The following is an 18960-nucleotide window of genomic DNA, read 5'->3' as shown; positions in this document are numbered from 1 at the left end:
CTTCTCAATAAATTTATGAGATGGATTCTCTATACTAACATTTAAAAAATTAGACAGATACACTTATATATTTTTATTTATTATGCCAATTTTACAGTTGAGAAAACTGAGGCCCAGAGACATTAAGTTTTCTAGACTCATGAGGCTAGTTGGTTGCATAATCTTACCTGCCTCCAGAAGTATTTAGAGGTCTATATATGCAAAACAATCTTAGATTCTTCAGGTAAGAATGTTGGGTAATTTCAGGGATTGTTATTGTTATCTCCTTGTATTTCTTTCCTTTTTTTTTTTTTTTTTTTTTGGTGACGGAGTATCACTCAGTTGCCCAGGCTGGAGTGCACTGCAACCTCTGCCTCCCGGGTTCAAGCTATTCTCCTGCCTCAGCCTCCCGAGTAGCTGGGACTACAGGTGCACACCATCACGCCTGGCTAATTTTTGTACTTTAATAGAGACGGGATTTCACCATGTTGCCCAGGCTGGTCTTAAACTCCTGACCTCAGGTGATCCACCCACCTCAGCCTCCCAAAGTGCTGGGATTACAAGCATGAGCCACTGCACCCGTCCATCTCCTTGTATTTCTATATGATATTTTGTCTTAATTAATTAACCAATAACTAGTAAAACTCTGGTTAACTGGTAACCTACGCAGTCAGAACCCACAATTACTTCTTTTAAGAATAAAATCTGGGCTGGGCGTGGTGGCTCACGCCTGTAATCCTAGCACTTTGGGAGGCCGGGGTGGGCAGATCACGAGGTCAGGAGTTCGAGACCATCCTGGCCAATATGGTGAAACCCTGTCTCTACTAAAAATACAAAATATTAGCCAGGAGTGGTGGTGCGTGCCTGTAATCCCAGCTACTCAGGAGGCTGAGGCAGGAGAATTGCTTGAACCTGGAAGGCGGAGGTTGCAGTGAGCCAAGATCACGCCACTGAACTCCAGCTTGGGTGACAGAGCGAGACTCCATCTCAAAAAAATAAACAAACAAAAGAATAAAATCTGACTCTAACCATAAGTAACTTAGATCTTTTTCAATAGCCTCTAAAACATCTTATTAATCTTTATTTTTCAAGTAGGGTTTCTCATAAATGCTTGGAGGTTTCTCATTTCTATCTACATGGAAAATTTTGTTTGCGATTTTATTTGTCTTTATAGGGTTTTGTTGCTTATCTAAAGTCATCAGAGGCAAACCAAACTAACATTTTACAATGTTTCTTTCAAAGGCTTTGACAGTACTTCAGATGGAATGATTATTTGATTGCAAATGTGAATAAATAAGGAATCCAGAAAGCAGGTATATGGTTACATTAAGGCAAAGAAAGTGCCCTATAGAAAGATCAATGAAGCCGGGCATGGTGGCTCACGCCTGTAATCCCAGCACTTTGGGGGGCTGAGGCGGGTGGATCACTTGAGGTCAGAAGTTCGAGAACAGCCTTGTCAACATGGTGAAACCCCGTCTCTACTATAAATACAAACATTAGCTGGATGTGGTGGCGCGGGTCTGTAGCCCCAGCTACTCAGGAGGCTGAGGCAGGAGAATCGCTTGAATCCAGGAGGCAGAGGTTGCAGTGAGCTGAGATTGCGCCACTGCACTCCAGCCTGCGTGACAGAGCGAGACTCCGTCTCAAGAAAAAAAAAAAGAAAAAAAAATAGAAAGATCAACCAATGGAACTGAACACATTGGAAAGGGTTTTATCAATGCTTAACCTTTGAGAATCTGTTGGGTAAATGGCTGATGAGCAGACTGTTATTATTTTGATGTGATAACCTCTGAACAGTCTGGCCAACTGGGATTGATACTGAACTATCTTCATTTTTAGTTGTCTAAAACAAAGCTTGCCAGTGAAATAAAATCTGAGAGGTAAAATCAAAGTTGCAATGACTAAAAGTGACAGGAGAGGCAGTTGCAAGGAATGCTTGTTACATGCACATCAACCAAGACGATGTAGTGGGAAGTCACACAAAGCCTATAAACTCTCTGGGCACACGCCAACACACAGACTCAAATCTGAGTTAATAAAGGAACTACAATAGCAGCAGCATGTATGAATTTAGAACAACTCATTAAGACTACTGTACCTGAAAACAAGGGAATTTGTTCTTCCAAATCCTAAAACTAAGGACTCTGTGATCTCAATGCTCTCTAGTCTCATCAAAGGCACCAACTGCTTTAACAGAACTCCCACCGATGGGGTGCCTATGGCCTGAAATAAGTTGAATACAAGTGAAAAAGAGGTAACATGGTAACTGATGGTTCCTTTAATCAAAGGATGATCCCATTATAACAGTTTCAAAGTACTGAACCATATCCCAAGGCACTGCCATCATTTCAGGAAACACACACACACACACACACACACACACACACACACACAAATTTAATACAGCAAAATGAATGCAATTCTCACCTGGAACACAAATTCTAAAGAAATTTTTTTTATAACGGTCTTCTTTTTAAAACCATTTAAGTCTATAAAGCTATCTTTAACAAGATAATTTATTTAATCAAGGCATGATTTAAAGGTGAATACTCAGTGAGGAGTGAAAGAAATGTAGTGTGGTGTTGTAGGACACAAACCAAACCTCAGGGCACGAATAAATACAAGTCACTCTATGGTCTTAAGCAGGTTTCTCAACTTTTCTTTATCTTTGGTTCCCTGCTTGTCAGGGAGGAGTAATAAATTATTCATATAAACACTCAATGGAATTTAGAAATGTGTAGGATGAAAATCTGATCCCATAATACTCCAGATGGCAGGCACAGTGCAATTTGCACTGTGAACTCTAGACAAACAAGCTAAAAAAAAACCTTACAGAATAATTCTTCTGAAGCATGTCATGTCACCTTGTTATCGTAGCTCACTGTACCATCAGGTGTGGTCGCCATTATTTCTGGAGTGGAAGCTCTTAAGTGTCCTGGGCTCATAATACTGGGTTTTGCAACTCCAAAACAAAGAATTAGGTAATTTCTCCACAAAGTAACATAGTTGTCTCCGCTGCCGGCAGTGCTGGTTTTCTTGGCATTAATTGGGCTACTAGAAATATGGAGTCGAAAACAAGAGTGAAACTAAGTTCTGGATTTTAAATATCACTTATTAAATAAAGATCATAGGAAGTACTCAAATAGAGTTGAACAACTGTCGATTAAGAATGTTATTCAAAGAGTATCTGCATTGGATGAAAAGTCAAACAGAAGAACTTTAAAGTATCTTTTACCATTAAAAGTCTGAAATTATAGACTTAGACAATCATACTGATTATTAAGGCAAAAAACCACTAGCTTTAGACAAAATTTTTTTAATGTTTTTACTCAATGTTAAGAATTCTCTAGTAGGAAGTTCAGAAATTGGGATGATAACATCCCAATCTCTTACACAAAATGAAAATTTAAGAGGGCAAATGGAAAAACAAGAGGGCAGAGGAAAACACAAGAATCCCTTACTTTGGGTCCACCAGAGGCATCACCGACTGGAGCCGAGTGAAGGCATAAGGCCAGGCATAGCTGAGGGCTGTGGGGCAGTGCTTGGGTAAGTTCTCCTGCCGGAGGAAGCTGAAGAGGCAGAGGACCCAGGGGTCTTTGACAGACTGTGCAAATATCCAGACATGGGAAGGGCTTTTCACATCATAATGGCTATTGACCAGGACTGCGTTCCATTCCACCAACCACTGCAGATCCACATTGTGGGTGAGTGGTAATGTTGCCTGTAGGTATAAGAGGTAGGTTGTAAGTTAAACCCGAACTGAAGTTATCCATCCTCATCAAGGCTCAGCCTGACTACTCATTCTTGCACAGTGCTTTTGCTGAGTGCACTGGGCTGGCTTTGAATCTGAAACACCAATCCTGCACCTACCACATTTGACCTTGGTGTGTGGTCATCAGTCTTCCTATGCTAGATGATAAGCAGCTTAAGTGCAAAATTTAAGAACCTGGGTCACATTTTGACAGGTTTATTGCCACAGAGCACTGTGCATCAATACACAGAAACTGTTCACTAATTATTTGTTGAATGAATATATGACAGTAAATTTAAACTGAAACATGGATTCAGTATTTTAAAATTCTGAAAAGTTATTCATCTCTGAGATTCACAAATGTGTTTTTATCATTGTAATTAACACGTTCTTAAAGCTATGATCTTCTCTATCTTTCCTTACACTGAAATATCTTCCCTTTGATTTAGAGAGATGGCTAAGCACAATCCCTTTTATGAAGGACATTCTACTGACAGTTTTTGAGATAAGATATCTACGTATTCTTATTTATTTATTTATTTATTTATTTATCGAGACAGAGTCTTGCTCTGTCACACAGACTGGAGTGCAGTGGTGTGATCTTGGCTCACTGCCACCTCCGCCTCCCAGGTTCAAGCGATTCTTGTACCTCAGCCTCCCCAGTAGCTGGGATTACAGGCAATCGCCACCACACCTCGCTAATTTTTGTATTATTTTTTAGAAGAAACAGGGTTTCACCATGTTGGTCAGGCTGGTCTCGAATTCCTGAACTCTAAATGATCTGCCTTCTTTGGCCTCCCAAAGTGCTGGGATTATAGTCGTGAACCACCACACCTGGCCAAGATACCCACATATTCTTGCCCTATGATAGCAAGCAAAAATAAAAATCTCTTGAAATCTCTTGAAAGATAAATATCTATATTAGTAAGTTCTTATATTCCATTTTGTTCTCTTTTAAGTCTAGATACCAAAGTTCAGGGGACATCAATTTTCAAATAATCTAGCTATTGTGCCAAGAGAGGACACTGCCTTTATGTTTGTTAGGCATGTAAAATGATGAATTAACTGTTGGGTTTATGAGTTCCCATGGGTAAGAGTGTTATAATTGTGGCCTCAATGGTCAATAGGCTGTAAGGGGCAGAGCTGGAGCTACAGAGCCTGAGAGATGAGATGGCAACATAGGCTCTGCCCAAAGCCTGTGACCTGAGAAAAGTACTGAACATCCCAGAATCTCTGTGTATTGAATTTATGACTTGGGAATTATAATGCTGATCTCACCAAATCTTTCAGTGAATTACATGAAGTAACAGCTGTAAAAACACCTGGCACAAAGCAGTCACTGCTTCTCCCATTACTCTCTCCCCGTTTCTGTATATCTTCCTAACTGCAGTATTGCTGAGCTGGTTACCCAGGTTAAGATTTTGATTTTGGTACACACAGAACAAAAGCACATGAACAAAATATAAAGTGTTATCTGTAGGCAAGTAGGATACGTACATTAAACAAAGCTTAGTATTCCATTCCATGTCAGAACAATTTGAAATTCTAAAAGAAGTAGGACTATTTCACTATTACTGTTAAGGTCTGCAGTACCTGGCTTATAGTTTTAGTGTATTATTATTATGATCATAAGCAAGAACAGGGCCACTAAAAATAGGAATCTGTTTTCAATCAAGTTAGAAAAGGCCATGAAGAGCTCTGAAATGTCTTCAGGTTTTGTATACATTTATAATTATCTGACAAGTATCTGCACATCAGGCATCAGCAACATCAGTAACATGGATTCTGCAAGGAGTCTCAGCTCTGCCCTGCCTCCCTTCAGCTATTTAGCCCAAATTAATCCAGGTCCTGTTATTATACTTTTATTTTTTAAAAGTCAGATAACTAAAATCAGTTTAAATTTCCCTTCTACACTTGTTCAGGAAATTGAAAGTTGCCAATGTGCTTTTAAAAAGGAAGAATGTATTTGTGTAGCAGATAAAGCTCTCCTAGGTTCAGAGTCCAAACCTGGGGAGGAGAGTTCGAGAGCCCAGACTTGACCCTGGGCTTTAAAACTCTCCTTTTGTGTGACTGTGGACTTACCCCTTAACATTTTTGAGTTTCAGTAACTGTGAGAATCAAATCGAATAATAAATGTGAAAGCACTCTGTAAACTATAAAGTACCACATAAATAGAAGTTACATATTAAGTACAATATTAAGTGTTACATATAGTATTAAGTGATAAGTACAATGAAAAAGGCAAAGTAATTTTCCTTAAGAATCCTGAGCAATTCTTAAAACTGTTGTTTAAAAATATTATCTATATTCCTAAGATCCAGATTTTGTGTGAAATTTATCTGAATGTCTCTTAAATTAACATCTGAAAAACTAGTCTTATCTTCATAAGTACCTTTGGGTCAGTTTATTAATCTGACATAAACACCCAAATTATTCCACATAATTTTTCACTGACTATTTTAGATAGGTCCAGAGCTTTTAAGAGCCATTAATTGGAATCAAATGTGTACTTACTGAATCCGAAACTGCTACATGAATAAAACTTTCTAGAATGGAAGAACTTAGCTGATCCATGACATCAATCATCGGCCTGTCGTCATCCTGTACAAAGGGGAGGCGATTACTCTCTATGGGAAAATGAATCCTCCCCACCCACCCCACCGCCTTCGTCTGATACATGAAGCAGAACAGCTTGTGAGATAGTGATAAGGGTTTTCTCACAGAAAAGTGAGTGCCCAGAGGGTGGAAGGCAGTGAGTAAAACTCCTGTGTTTCTGAGCTTCATCTTTCAAGTTTTAGTGGAAGATAATTAGAGCTCCAATTTCACATTGTACTGAAAAGACATATACCTGAATTTCAGACTCATACATGTACATGAGAATCTACCAGTGCCATACATTATTCACTACAGTGTTCATGTTATTAATTTCGAGGAGTAGAAATTCTGCAAGAATATGCTTTGTTAGACTGCTAACTAAAATGCTACTTATTTTAAGTCATTGATCTGTTAAAATAACTGATAAATTGTTTACTGTGACTGAATTTTAGTCCCAAAGAAACTAGACTGACCACACACTCTTTGTAGTATCTACATAGTATGTAACTATTTGATACAAGATGCAAATTGGAAAGGGCACGAGAGAGTATCTTAGTGAAAATTCTATGTGAATAATACATAAATGAATGGATTCATTTATATATCATAAATTTATAAATTAATTCATCCATTCATTTATATATTATGAACAAAATATATGTAATGAATGTATAAATGAATATTCATTTATTTATATATTATATATTCATTCACCATCCCTTATGGAGAAATTGGAAAATATAAAATTATTTACTCAAAAGCCTTATAGAAAAGCCTTGGGATGTCTCTATTTCTGTGTGAATGACAGTGGTTTAAAAAAAATTATGGCTGGTCAAAGAAAGCAACATATGAGGAACATCTTTGATGCAGTCTAGTGGATTAGCACTTAAGAAGTGGGGCGTTAGAGGCATGTGTATATATCTGTTGTTGAATTTTGGCTCTGTTACATTCTAGCTGTTGATTTTGCAGGAGGCAGTTAACCTCTCTAAGCCTCAGTCTCAGTATCTGTACAATGGGATAATAACCAAACCAATCCTTAGGTTATTATGAGGGTCAAATGAGATATTATTTATAAAGCACTTAGCACACTACCTGACACATACATGGTAATTATTATTATCATTACTTTCATAATTACAAACTTGATGAAGGTTTGCTAAAATATAATATGTCTTAGAGATTCATTTACCAGATGCCAGAGATGTGGCCCTGAAATACATCAGAAAGCTATCTGAAGAAATATGAACAGAAAAGACTGTGAAGTTGAAAATATTTTATAAAGACAGTGACTATGTCAAGTGTTACAAAACCAAAGTAGTTATTTTTAAAAGAAGAAAACAGAAAGTGGTAATTTTCTAAAGAAATATATGACATGAAAAGCTGGTCCCTCTTTCATCAAATTATGCATTTGGTTTGGCCACCCATGCCAGCTTGCAAGATAGCAATAAGTGTTTTCTCTGAACAAGGTGTATGGCATTTAGCCAAATGTGGGGTGTTAGCAGGCATTGATCATGCTTAATAACTGGCTTCCTTCTCCCATTTCAAGAGGACGTGTTTTTTGTGATGCCATTTTCTACCATCATCAAGATTAAACATCTTTCAATTTGCCAAACTCTTTGGTACCTTGATCATTTCAAATGAGATATATGATTTTTCAAGTTTATTCTCTAATATAAAGTAATAATATCTTCTTAATTAGATATGTGCTGAACACTGTGAAGGAAATGATTCATAGCCTAAATTAATCTTAAAATTCTTCACTTCTTAGCAAAGTAATGTCCCTGGAGAACTGGGATTTGTCTTTTCTATTGCTTTTAGAAAATATGACTTACATCTAGTAGATCAAGAATGTTATTACAATAGTTTAAAACCTAACAATGAATGAAACACTACATGTAACATAAAAGTACCTGAAATAGTAATGCATCATTTGTAGTTTTTAATCTAAATTTCAGAAGAGTTGAAAGTAAGAAATGGAAAAATTCAGAAGACTAATCCATACCTCAGGCTGCCCCAGGGCAATAAACAACGCTCGAATTTCCTTGAGTATTAAAACGGACAGTTTGCGTGTGGCCACCTGGAAACTGCAGAGTAAAACCAGAGCAAAACCTTCTACAGCGTGGAGTACACTGCAGTGGGGACCTCGTTCCGACTGAATTCTGTGACTGGAGCCATTTGCGATGAGCTGTTATGCAATAAGAACAACATTCTGTATTCAGCGAAATAACAAAGGAAGAAGAATACACTCATGTTTTACATATTTTTTGCACATTTGACCTTGTAAATATTAAAATAAATGACCATGGTTTAGAACCAGACATGTCTATGAATTTATTATTATTCATGAAATATCCTAGATCCCCTTCTGTCTTTCAGATCAATTGCTGCTGCGGAATACCATCAACCATCTGTTACTTCTGATGAAAAATAACTCTTCAAAGGCTATTAATGTTGATAAAAACACAACTCCTTTCATGTATACCACTTGGTATTACACTGTATATACAATCAAAGTGGCCAAAGTTGTTATTTAAATTCTCCATAGACTTTTGGATACTATTGAATCGAATTTTCAAACATTTACTTTCTATTTCTCCTTGCTTACTTGTTTGTTAGATTCTAATCTAGGTTTTGCACAGCTCTGTGATGGATTCTGAAAGTTCCCAATCCCCAACCAAGTGAATCTAAAGTAAAAGCAAGCCAGTCAACAGGGAAGTTTCCACCTTCATTTTTGTTTTCCCCTTACAAGCATATATAACCCTTGCTTTTCTACCTATCGTGTTGGCATGTCTACAACACAGGGAAGGGAGAAGGAGCTGAATGTCATCTCTGGGGTTAGCCTCTAAGGAATCCCAGCTGTTCCCCAGATGCTACTATACTGCCATGAGCCTCCACAGTCTTTAGACTCTCAGTTACACTCTTCTCCAGCCAGACCCCTTTCTCCATCTGCTCATTGCCAATGCCAAGTTCCCACCACCCTGGTTCTCCTCTGACAACACTCCTCCTCAATGCGCTCTGCAAAATGTTATCACTACCTTAACCATTTAGGACTGAGACATGAAAGGATAAAGAAACCACAAGACTGCACTGTCCTCTCCGTGGATATTGAACAAAGCAGCCCATATGTTTCTGGCTAAAAATAACTAGTGGACAGCTGACTTTTATATACCTATATCCACATCCATATCCATATCAATATGTACATCCATATCTACATCCACACCTGCACCTAAACCCACATCCACATCAATATTCACATCCATATCCACATCTACATCCACATCAATATCCACATCTACATCCACAACCCTATCCACATCCCTATCACATCCACATTTACATCCAAATCCATATCTACATCCACACCCACACCCACATCCACGTCCACATCAATATCCACATCCACATCTATATCCACATCTACATCCACATCCATCACATCCATTTATATCCACATCCATATCCTATCTACATCCACACCCACACCTACATCCACATCCATATCCACATCTACATCCTTATCTATATCCACATCCATATCACATCCACATGTATATCCACATCCACATCCTATCTACATCCACATCCACACCCATATCCACATCCACATCTACATCTGCATCTACATCCACACCTACATCCACATCCACACCCACATCCAGCTCTAAGTCCCTGGCCTGTAGTCATTTGTTCTTACAAATAGATTTGCAATCATACTTCTCTGAAAAAACCAATTTCTATTCCCTAAATAGCCTTGTGAATGTTCACAAGTCTAACCTGATGTGGAATATCATGCTCTGAGTTTCTTGGTCACAATTTATGCCAGTGGAAGAACTAAGGCCCACCACCAGGGAGGAAGTTCTTAGGTGGCTGGAAGTAAGAATTCTAAAGGTTCTAGACTGCCACTCATTCACATATATGAATAAAAGAATATAAATTCAGCCGGGCATGGTGGCTCACACCTGTAATCCCACTACTCTGGGAGGCTGAGACGGGAGGATCACTTGAGGTTGGGAGTTCGAGACCAGCCTGGCCAAGACGGCAAAACCCCAATCTCTGCTAAAACTACAAAAATTAGCCAGGTGTGATGTTGTGCACCTGTAATCCCAGCTACTCGGGAGGCTGAGGCATGAAAATCACTTGAACCAGGAGGTGGAGGTTGCAGTGAGTCAAGATCGCGCCACTGCACTCCAGCCTGGGCAACAGAGTAAGACTGTCTCAAAAAAAAAAAAAAAAAAAAAAAAAAAGAATATAAATTCATGGGTAAGGTGTGAAAATCACCTCTGAATTTCTGATTTTGTTGGCTTGTTCATAGACTTTTCCTTGTGTCTGGATGACTAGTTTCCACTGGGTGAGCAGCTGCAGCAGCAACTTCAGGGACGAATCAAGGAGTGTGTGATGCATATCATTTACTTCCCGGAGCAGGAAGTTGGTAAAGCCAAATAGTACATCTTCCCTCCAATCTGAGAAGTCAACAAGTAAACCCTGAAGAGAATTTTGTGCAATATGTCGCAATTCATCATCCATATGAATAGAGAGCCTGTGAAACGAATAAAGGAAAATAAAATCATTTACTTTATTAACTGGTCTTCTAGAGCTAACAAGGATTAATAGATATTAATGTATATCTCTTCTACTTGAGTCTGAAAATGGGTCTCCCTTATTTTTTGCTTAGTAAATGACTTACATAAATACCTTTAAAAAACTTCTAATTTGGCCAGGCATGGTGGCTCACGCCTGTAATCCCAGCACTTTGGGAGGCTGAGGCAGGTGGATTGCCCGAGTTCAGGAGTTCGAGGACAGCTTGGCTAACACGGTGAAACCCCGTCTCTACTAAAAATACAAAAATTAGCCAGGTGTGGTGGCACATGCCTGTAGTCCCAGGTACTTGGGAGGCTGAGGTAGGAGAATGGCATGAACCTGGGAGGCTGAGGTTGCAGTGAGCCAAGATCGTGCCACTGCACTCTAGCCTGGGCAACAGAGTTAAACTCCATCTCAGAAAAACAAAACAAAACAAAACAAAACAAACTTCTAATTTTAGAATTACTGAAGTGCTGCAAAGATAATACAGAGTTTTCCGATATAGCGTTCTTCGGGCCTCCCCTAATGTTAACATCTTATATAACTACGGTACACTGATCAAAACTAAGAACTTAATATTGAGATGAAGCTATTAACTACTTTACTCAGATTTCACCGGTTTTCCAATGATGTCCTTTTTCTGTTTCAGAATGCAATCCAAGATACCACACTGCATTTAGCTGTACTGTATATGAACACTTTTTAATACATCACTGGCTACAGAATAATAAATTAGTATCGAATCCTATTCTTAAGGATGAGGAACCTGAGTACTGGAGAAGCTAAAGGACTCATCCAGAAGCTCAGTATAAATGAACAATCAGAGTCAGGCCTGTGGTCCTAAATCGGTTTTGCTCCTTGGGATATCTGGCAATGTCTGGACACATTTCTGGCTGTGCACCTTGGGGTGTGGTACAGGCATTTCTCTAGTGGGTAGAAGCTAGGGATGCTGCTCAACACCCCAGAATCCTAAGACACCCTACAGGACAGGTCCCTGTGACAAAGAATTTTCTGGCCCAAAATGTCAATAGTGCCAAGGTTGAGACATTTTGAGTAAGTTAACAGAATTCTAGTGTATCTGTGGTTTAATCTAGAACAACACAATAATATTAAATCTTGACATTGGTAGGATGGATTACTGCTAACATACTGCTTTACATATTCATTCATTTATTTAATAAGCAAAGGCTTTTAAGAGAGACCCTCCTAAGATTCAGTCATCACATGCCCTATGTACAGCACTTAGGATATGGAGTTCGGTGTGGCTGTGTCTATTGGGTGAGGTGCCTGCAAGAGTGAGGTGTGAGACAGTGCTGGAGAGGAAGCAGAGGCAGCTCAACTGAAGGGTCTTTGGGCCACTCAGGGAGACAACACAGCAGGGAAGGGATTCAGAGTGTGTACTCTGGAGTCAGAATGCCTGGATCAGGGTCTTGCCTCTGTCACTTATTAGCTACGTGACTTCAGGCTAGTCACTTAATCTCTAAGCCTCAGATTGGTAAAATGGGGATACTAACTGTAACTGCATTCCATAAACCTGTCGTGAGGGTCACTGAATGATCCATGTGCAATATTTAGCACTTCACAGAGCACAGAGTAAGCACTCAGTAACGTTAGCTATTATTAGAAGAAAATGAATTGTATCCTGAAAGTTATAGGGAAAGAAACATGATTAGATTCACGCTTGAGAAAAGAGAGTCAGGCAGGAATAGGGAGAATGTCTTGGAGAAGAAACAAGGCACAGACCATCTAAGAGGTCACTGCAATGACTTAAGCAACAAGTGGTGAGGGCCTGACCCAAAGCATAGAAGTGTGGTGGGGCAAGGGCAGACAGAGGCCAAAGATATTTAGAACTCAGTAGCCTGGAGGTGTTCAGTGGCGGAACATGGCAGAGTCAATGGGGGCTCCCATACCCAGGACAGATATTATCACCAACAAATACAAGACAACATTGTCGCCCAGAGTGGTTAAGGAATTTGCTCAAAGTTAACAAAGGGAAGAGCCAGGAATTCAATTTAGGACTTCTAATCTTTAATCCAAAATACTTCTCACAAAACAAGCCTGACACAAGTCACCCCAGTTATCACTCTCAGATAGTATTTCAAAAGTTTGATAAGATAAGCAAACTCTTGTCTTATTTTATAAAGCATAAAGTACACCAATTGGTCCAGTTTGACAATATAAATCAGGTAAAAAGCTCTTTAGTTCACAGATTTACACTGAGCCAGGGAATATATTTACTGTCTCAAAAGCATGTAAAGTTCTACACAGACACTGAGAAGGAAGATCTAAGCTAATTTTTCAGGGACGTCTTATACAATTAAATCTACAGTTCTTCAGTAGTTGCTGAAAGAAGAATGAGAAGGCTTTAACCTGGGCTTCCAATCTAGAATTGTCTAAAACAGAAGTTTTCAAACTTTCTTTATATTTCATTCAGCAGCATATCTATCTTTTTTTCCAACAAAAGTTTATATAGAGCTCTGTGGTGGTGAATTTTATGTGTCAACTTGGCTGGGCCTCAGTGCCCAGATATTTGACTGACATTATTCTGGATGTTTGTGGATGAGATTAACATTTAAATCAGTGGACTTTGAGGAAAGCAGTTTTCCCTCCCTCATGTGGGTGGGCCTCATTTGACCAGCTGCAGGACTGACTAGAACAAAAGATTGGACTCCCCTGAGCAAGAGAGAATTCAACAGCCTTTAGACTTCATCTGCAACACTGGTTCTTCCTGGTTCTACAGCAGACTGTGTTTGGATTCAAACTGGAAACTTGGCTCTTCTGAATCTCTAGCATGCCGGCCTTCAGACAAGAATGGCAGCACTGGCTCTCCTGCATCTCCAGCTTGCTGGCCCCCCATGAAGGTTTTGGACCTGCCAGTCTCCATAACTACATGAGCCAATTCCTTACAATAAATCTCTTTCTCTCTATATACATCTTATTGTTTCTGTTTCTCTCTGGAGAACTCTAATACAAACTGCAATATATAGATACATAAAGCCTGAGCCACTCTGGTTAAAGCTGGGGTAAAAGGCCTGAAGCCCACCCATCTGGGGAGAAAACACTCCTTCACTCGCCAAGCAGCTGAGTCATCTCTGCAGTCCATGGTTTGAAAACACTAGTTTATGAAAAGCACTTGAAGTCATTTCCCCATCTTATGTTTATTATTCTAATTTACTATATTTATACCTGTCTATGGACCTGAAGGTCTTAGAAAATAAGCTTCCACAGATAACAAGCCACCGTTTTTAGGACAGGTAATAGTTTAGTAACCAGGAATTGCAGACACTACATAAATGTTAACTGATAGTAATGACAGTGTTCATAATTTTGTGTCTCCCACAAAATTCATATGTTTAAGTCCTAACTCCCAGTACCTCAGAATGTGACCTTATTTGGAAATGAGGTCATTGCAGATGTAATTAGCTAAATTAAGGAGAGGTTGTGGGCCCCTAATCCAATATGACTGGTGTCCTTATAAGAAGGGCACTTTTGTAGACAGACAACACACGTGGATAATGCCATATGAAGATAAAGGCAGACATCAGGGTGATGCTTCTACAAGCCAAGGGATGCCAGAGTGCCAGCAAACTACCAGAAGCCATGTGAGAGGCTTGGAGCAGATTCTCTCTCATAGTCTTGAGCAGGACACAACCCTGCTGACACCTTGATCTTGGACCTCTAGCCTCCAGAAGTGTGAGAGAATAAATTTTTGGTGTTTAGGCCACTCATTTTGTGACACTTTGTTACAGCAGCCCTAGCAAACCAATATAATCATGAAACCAGACAAGCACCAAGGACGAAAGCCATGTCATGGTCTATTTTCATGAAGCCTTTAAGTAAGGGCCAATACTTTCAGCTTTCCAAATGAGATTGATTCTACTCGTCATCTAACTTTGCTCTCACGCACAATTTGCAATCTAGAATCTGTTTTAACTTCAAACCCACAATGCAGGATCATTTTCAGGACTCTTGGAGCCCCAGGGCAGTGTAGTCCTTGCTATTCTTGGTGGCCATGTCTCTTAAAATGACAGTGTTTACATGCTCTACCACTGAAAGGCTCAAAAATATTCCTGGAGGAAGAAGACCAGGGAGGGGAAAGGGCTTCTGGGATAGAAGGCTCAGCTGGTTATAAAAGTGGAATGTTTGTAGAAGAAAAAGGCCCAGCTGCCACAGAACTGAGACTGAATGGAAATCACCTATCAAGACGAGTCTGTGGGTAGTAGGTGAGGGGTAAGGGGAAGAAGCTGTGAAGAGGACAAAGCTCCCTCCCTGTGTCTGTCCCTCGAAGCATATAAGCAGAGGGCTGCCTGTCAGATACAGTTGCCATCTCTTCCACTCAGTTCTTCCTCATTTTTACTTTTGTTAGATTTTGACCAGATAATCAAGATCTTGTGAAACACATGGGATTTTACATTATAAAGCGGGAAAAAAATAGCTATCTAAAAGGGAAAGGAAGCCTTGGAGTTAAATGAGAAAGATGTCCAGCCATTCTGACTACTCAGGAAAGTAGCGTAGAGCTGGCCTACAGATTTACAAATCCTATTAGATCTCCTTCTCTAGCAAGGATGAGGGTGGGGGACAGCAGTTCCCCCAGCTGGGCCATCTTCATAGAGAAACTAGACCAGGAAAGAAAGAACAGGTCTCAGCTGCAAATTAAACAGACGCAGTTATAATTTTAAAAACTGTCCTTTGAGAGAGTTTGGTGGCAACAATTAAGAGGGAACAGAAAGACTTTAAGAGAAAGCAACTTGAGAAGATGTCTGGCTAGCTTGGGGAACTAAGGCTAAATTTCTGAAAAGCTGATTTGGCTCTCAGAAGCCTAAAATAAAAGAAACCAGTGTTGCCAATACCAGTTGCAGCTGCCCCTCCCAGGCAGCTGGGATCAGGAGCACTAAGCAGGCCTGGCATGATTCTCACTGCTCACGTCAGAAAGCGAATGCATAGCTGTATTCTGCACAGGCCACGTGTGCCACTGCCAATGGTCCTGGGCCCTGTCTGCGGTGATGGAGAACAAGTGAGTGGTGTGATCACAAGGGCACGTGCTGCTCAGACAAGGGTGCTACTGAACAAGTCAGGACATGTCATAAAATGAGGAAATAGAACTTGGACAAAGCTGCCTTCTTTGTTGGTCAGATCAGAAATATGACTTTTAATGGAAAACACTTGTGTAAGGTAAGCTTCAGATTCTGATGGAATCAGCTTAGTAGCTTTTAATAATGTTCTTGTACAGAGATACATGAAAGAAAAGGGGTGATTTCAAATTCACAAACCATATCCAGAAGAAAAGATAAATTAGGAGAAACATCCTCCTTTGAACTAGGCAAGATAAGCAAAAGCTTATTAGAAAGAAGTGCCCCACAATGTCAACAAGGGCCGTGGAGGAAGAAACACTGAAAGTGAAGCCCAGCAGACAAGGATTTCCAAAAGAAGGAGCTTGAGAGAGGTGGACTGTTCACCACCAGGGTAGTTCACCAGAAGGGGTGGAAATTTCTCCTTGGAGGCTATTAAAGAATGAACCCCCATCTATCTACAGTGGTTCGAACTATATCTCAATTAAAATACAGAAATATGACTAAGTGAATTATTGAGGCAATATATACAATTGAGACAAGTTCTCTTTCAGCTACTCCAAACAACTAACCACTTTCCACAACACAGGCATATGTGGAAAAGGGAAAGCAGAATAAATGTTTAATGATTTTTAGATACCCTAGAAGACTGTGGAATCTGTGTATGCATTATCTTAGAAGTTTCTACAAATAATAAGGAAACACCACATAAAACGTGTTTATTATTTTGCATAAAACCAATGACATTTGGAAAATTCTATAAATTTGGGCAATCAGATTTACCCTTCTGAAATTCAATGTCCTTATCTAAAAATAAGAATGAACATGTGCCCAGCTTACCTAACATAATGTATATGAAATGCATTGTATAGCACGGTGTATGTTCTTTGAATGTGAAGATATCTAAAAATAATAAACTAACATTTGCTGAGAGCTTTGAAAGAGGAGGGTGAATACTCAACAGCAAGCCCTTGGTGCATGCAAAGCACTGCAGGAAGTGACAAGGAAAGGAGCCTGTGGACTCCTAGTGAAAGCTCCCTCTTGTGGTCAAATGACAGAGCAGGAACTATCTAGGAGAGGAGAACGAGAGAAAAAGATGGCGGCTGCCAAGGGGAGACAGCTGCCCTTTCTATCTGGAGAATCCTCAGGGATCCAGACAGCTGAGCAGGCCAGGCTCTGCAGAGAATGGGAAGGAAGCACCCCCATGGATCTCACCACAATGTCAGGAGGGCCTGTGAAGCTTCCATGGAGCCACATGGAAAGGTTCTCACACTTGGCCATATTATGAGCTGGCTGAGCAATACATGTAAAGTCAAAAATCTAGTAGCTTGAAGAAGGCAGTTTTCCAGCTTCGTTGTATACACTGTTGTCATGTGCAACATACTAATATGTGTCTGAGGTGTAAGTGTCTGTGGTATTCAGCCATTACTCAAAGTGCAGGAAGGGCCTGGGAGCAGCTGTGTGGGACACACAGTTGAAACTCCTTACAGGGAACTGAGCTGGGAGGGATGGACAACCTGCATGAACACTGCCCTTATTTTACCAATTATGAAAAAAAACAAGGTTTTAAATAAAAAGTGTACCACGGATGAGACTGTGAAGTGTCAGAAATAACAGGTCTCACTCCTCTCTGACTAGACCATATATTATCTCAGGTCAATTGAATCCGAAGGCAACTGGACTGTGGGGGTATAAAGTAACTGAAGACTTCTTGTGTGGCACTTGAAACCCACATTTATTGCTATTGAATTACTTCACTTTTGTCCTCTGACCCTCTCAAGGAGATCTGAAGAGGGTCATTTTCTCACAGGTTAATAGGACTCTATGTGCAGGTCGCTTACTCTAGTTATCCTTCCCCCTGAGGAGAACAGCCTCTGGCTTCTTTTGAAGCTTATTAAAAAGGTCCCTTCATGGGTTTCCCATATAAGTCCAGTCATTTCCTTGATTTCTCCCTAAGACTTAGACTCTCAGGAATATTTATTTGTTCTGTTCCCTCAGAAAAAAAAGAAAAAAGAAAAAACAAAAAACAGCATCCATTGCTTTGGGCTTGGTAAGAATGTAACTTATAATAAACAGGACGCACTATAAATAGCACTAGCATTCCAACCACATCTGACAGAATTCCCTCCCAACACGCCTGGCACCATGGTCTGGGGGTTTGGGCGTCACTGGATTGGGCTGTCAAGGTGATTCCAGAGGTAGGAGCCTCCCACTCAGACTTATAGCAAAATAGCATTAGAGACTTTACCAGAAAGAGAACACTGCATGCCATTCAAAAAACTTGGTACTTCAAAGGCCTCAGTGTATATAATCACCAATTAGACTTCTATTGAATAAAGTGAACTTTCCTTCTACTTCAATTTAACTGAAAACTTTTTCCCTGCAGACGCCTCCTCTCTCTAACCACATGTCTTGTCATCTAGCCCTCGCAACAGTCCTGAGGTAGGCAGTCTCATTCCAATTTCACCAAAATTTTACCATGGGAAAAGGATAGGCTTGAGGGTTAAATAATTTGTCCGGATCATGCAGGTAGTAAAATGGCAAAGGAATGAAGGAAATGAAGTTCAGGCTTTTAGAGGATTGTTTTCTTCCCATTCTCGTGTCCTGCTTCCTCCATGTCTGTTAGATGGTGGCCGTCTTTGTCCAGACAGTCATGAGGCCTTGGAGAGGGGCTTTTCGCTCAGCCACCTGTGCTCTGGGGAAATACACGTCTCCTGGTCATGCCACCCTCTCCAATGCTGTCCACAGCAAACTGACAGGCTCTCCTTTATGTTTTCAGTAGCTCTAGCCCTTGTCTCACAGCTTTTCTTTATTCTCAGTCTCTGCCCTCATCCCGGGTGACTCAATATTAGCATGGATGACCCTTACAGTCTTAGTCTCTCTTTCCCTCAGCTTCCCCCAGCCCCTAAATCATCGTGTTCATTATTCTTTGGAAACCCACTCTTTGTTCCTCCACAGGTCTTCCCCTTGCCCTGAACTGGAAAG

At 40.1% G+C, this 18960-nt stretch overlaps 1 protein-coding gene across 6 annotated transcripts in view, besides 1 other annotated feature; it reads right to left on the bottom strand.

Annotated features, from left to right (window-relative positions):
* Positions 1–18960, bottom strand: part of FRY (FRY microtubule binding protein) — a 267352-nt gene that overhangs the window by 117249 nt on the left and 131143 nt on the right. For 5 of the 6 annotated variants that reach the window (XM_047429999.1, NM_001411012.1, XM_047430000.1 and 2 more), the window contains exons 18-23: positions 10607–10865; positions 8328–8510; positions 6245–6331; positions 3441–3700; positions 2844–3033; positions 2078–2202 (exon numbers count right to left, since the gene is read on the bottom strand). In XM_047429999.1, coding sequence (XP_047285955.1) covers positions 2078–2202; positions 2844–3033; positions 3441–3700; positions 6245–6331; positions 8328–8510; positions 10607–10865 — 1104 coding nt within the window. Of the gene's footprint in view, positions 1–2077; positions 2203–2812; positions 3034–3440; positions 3701–6244; positions 6332–8327; positions 8511–10606; positions 10866–18960 lie in introns of those variants that run through there. The other variant, XM_017020306.2, reaches the window with a different exon arrangement.
* Positions 15419–16618: an enhancer, noted in NCBI's record as "CDK7 strongly-dependent group 2 enhancer chr13:32739396-32740595 (GRCh37/hg19 assembly coordinates)". NCBI's record gives its function as "activates an origin of replication core promoter dependent on BRD2, BRD4, P300/CBP, MED14 and CDK7 cofactors, with strong dependence on CDK7, by STARR-seq in HCT116 cells {active_cell/tissue: HCT116}" and the evidence as "EXISTENCE:reporter gene assay evidence [ECO:0000049][PMID:35650434]".

This window comes from Homo sapiens, chromosome 13 (assembly GCF_000001405.40).
Source record: "Homo sapiens chromosome 13, GRCh38.p14 Primary Assembly".
NCBI lineage: Eukaryota > Metazoa > Chordata > Mammalia > Primates > Hominidae > Homo > Homo sapiens.
Note: the sequence above shows the minus strand (reverse complement) of the source record. Positions and strands in the feature narration are given on the sequence as shown.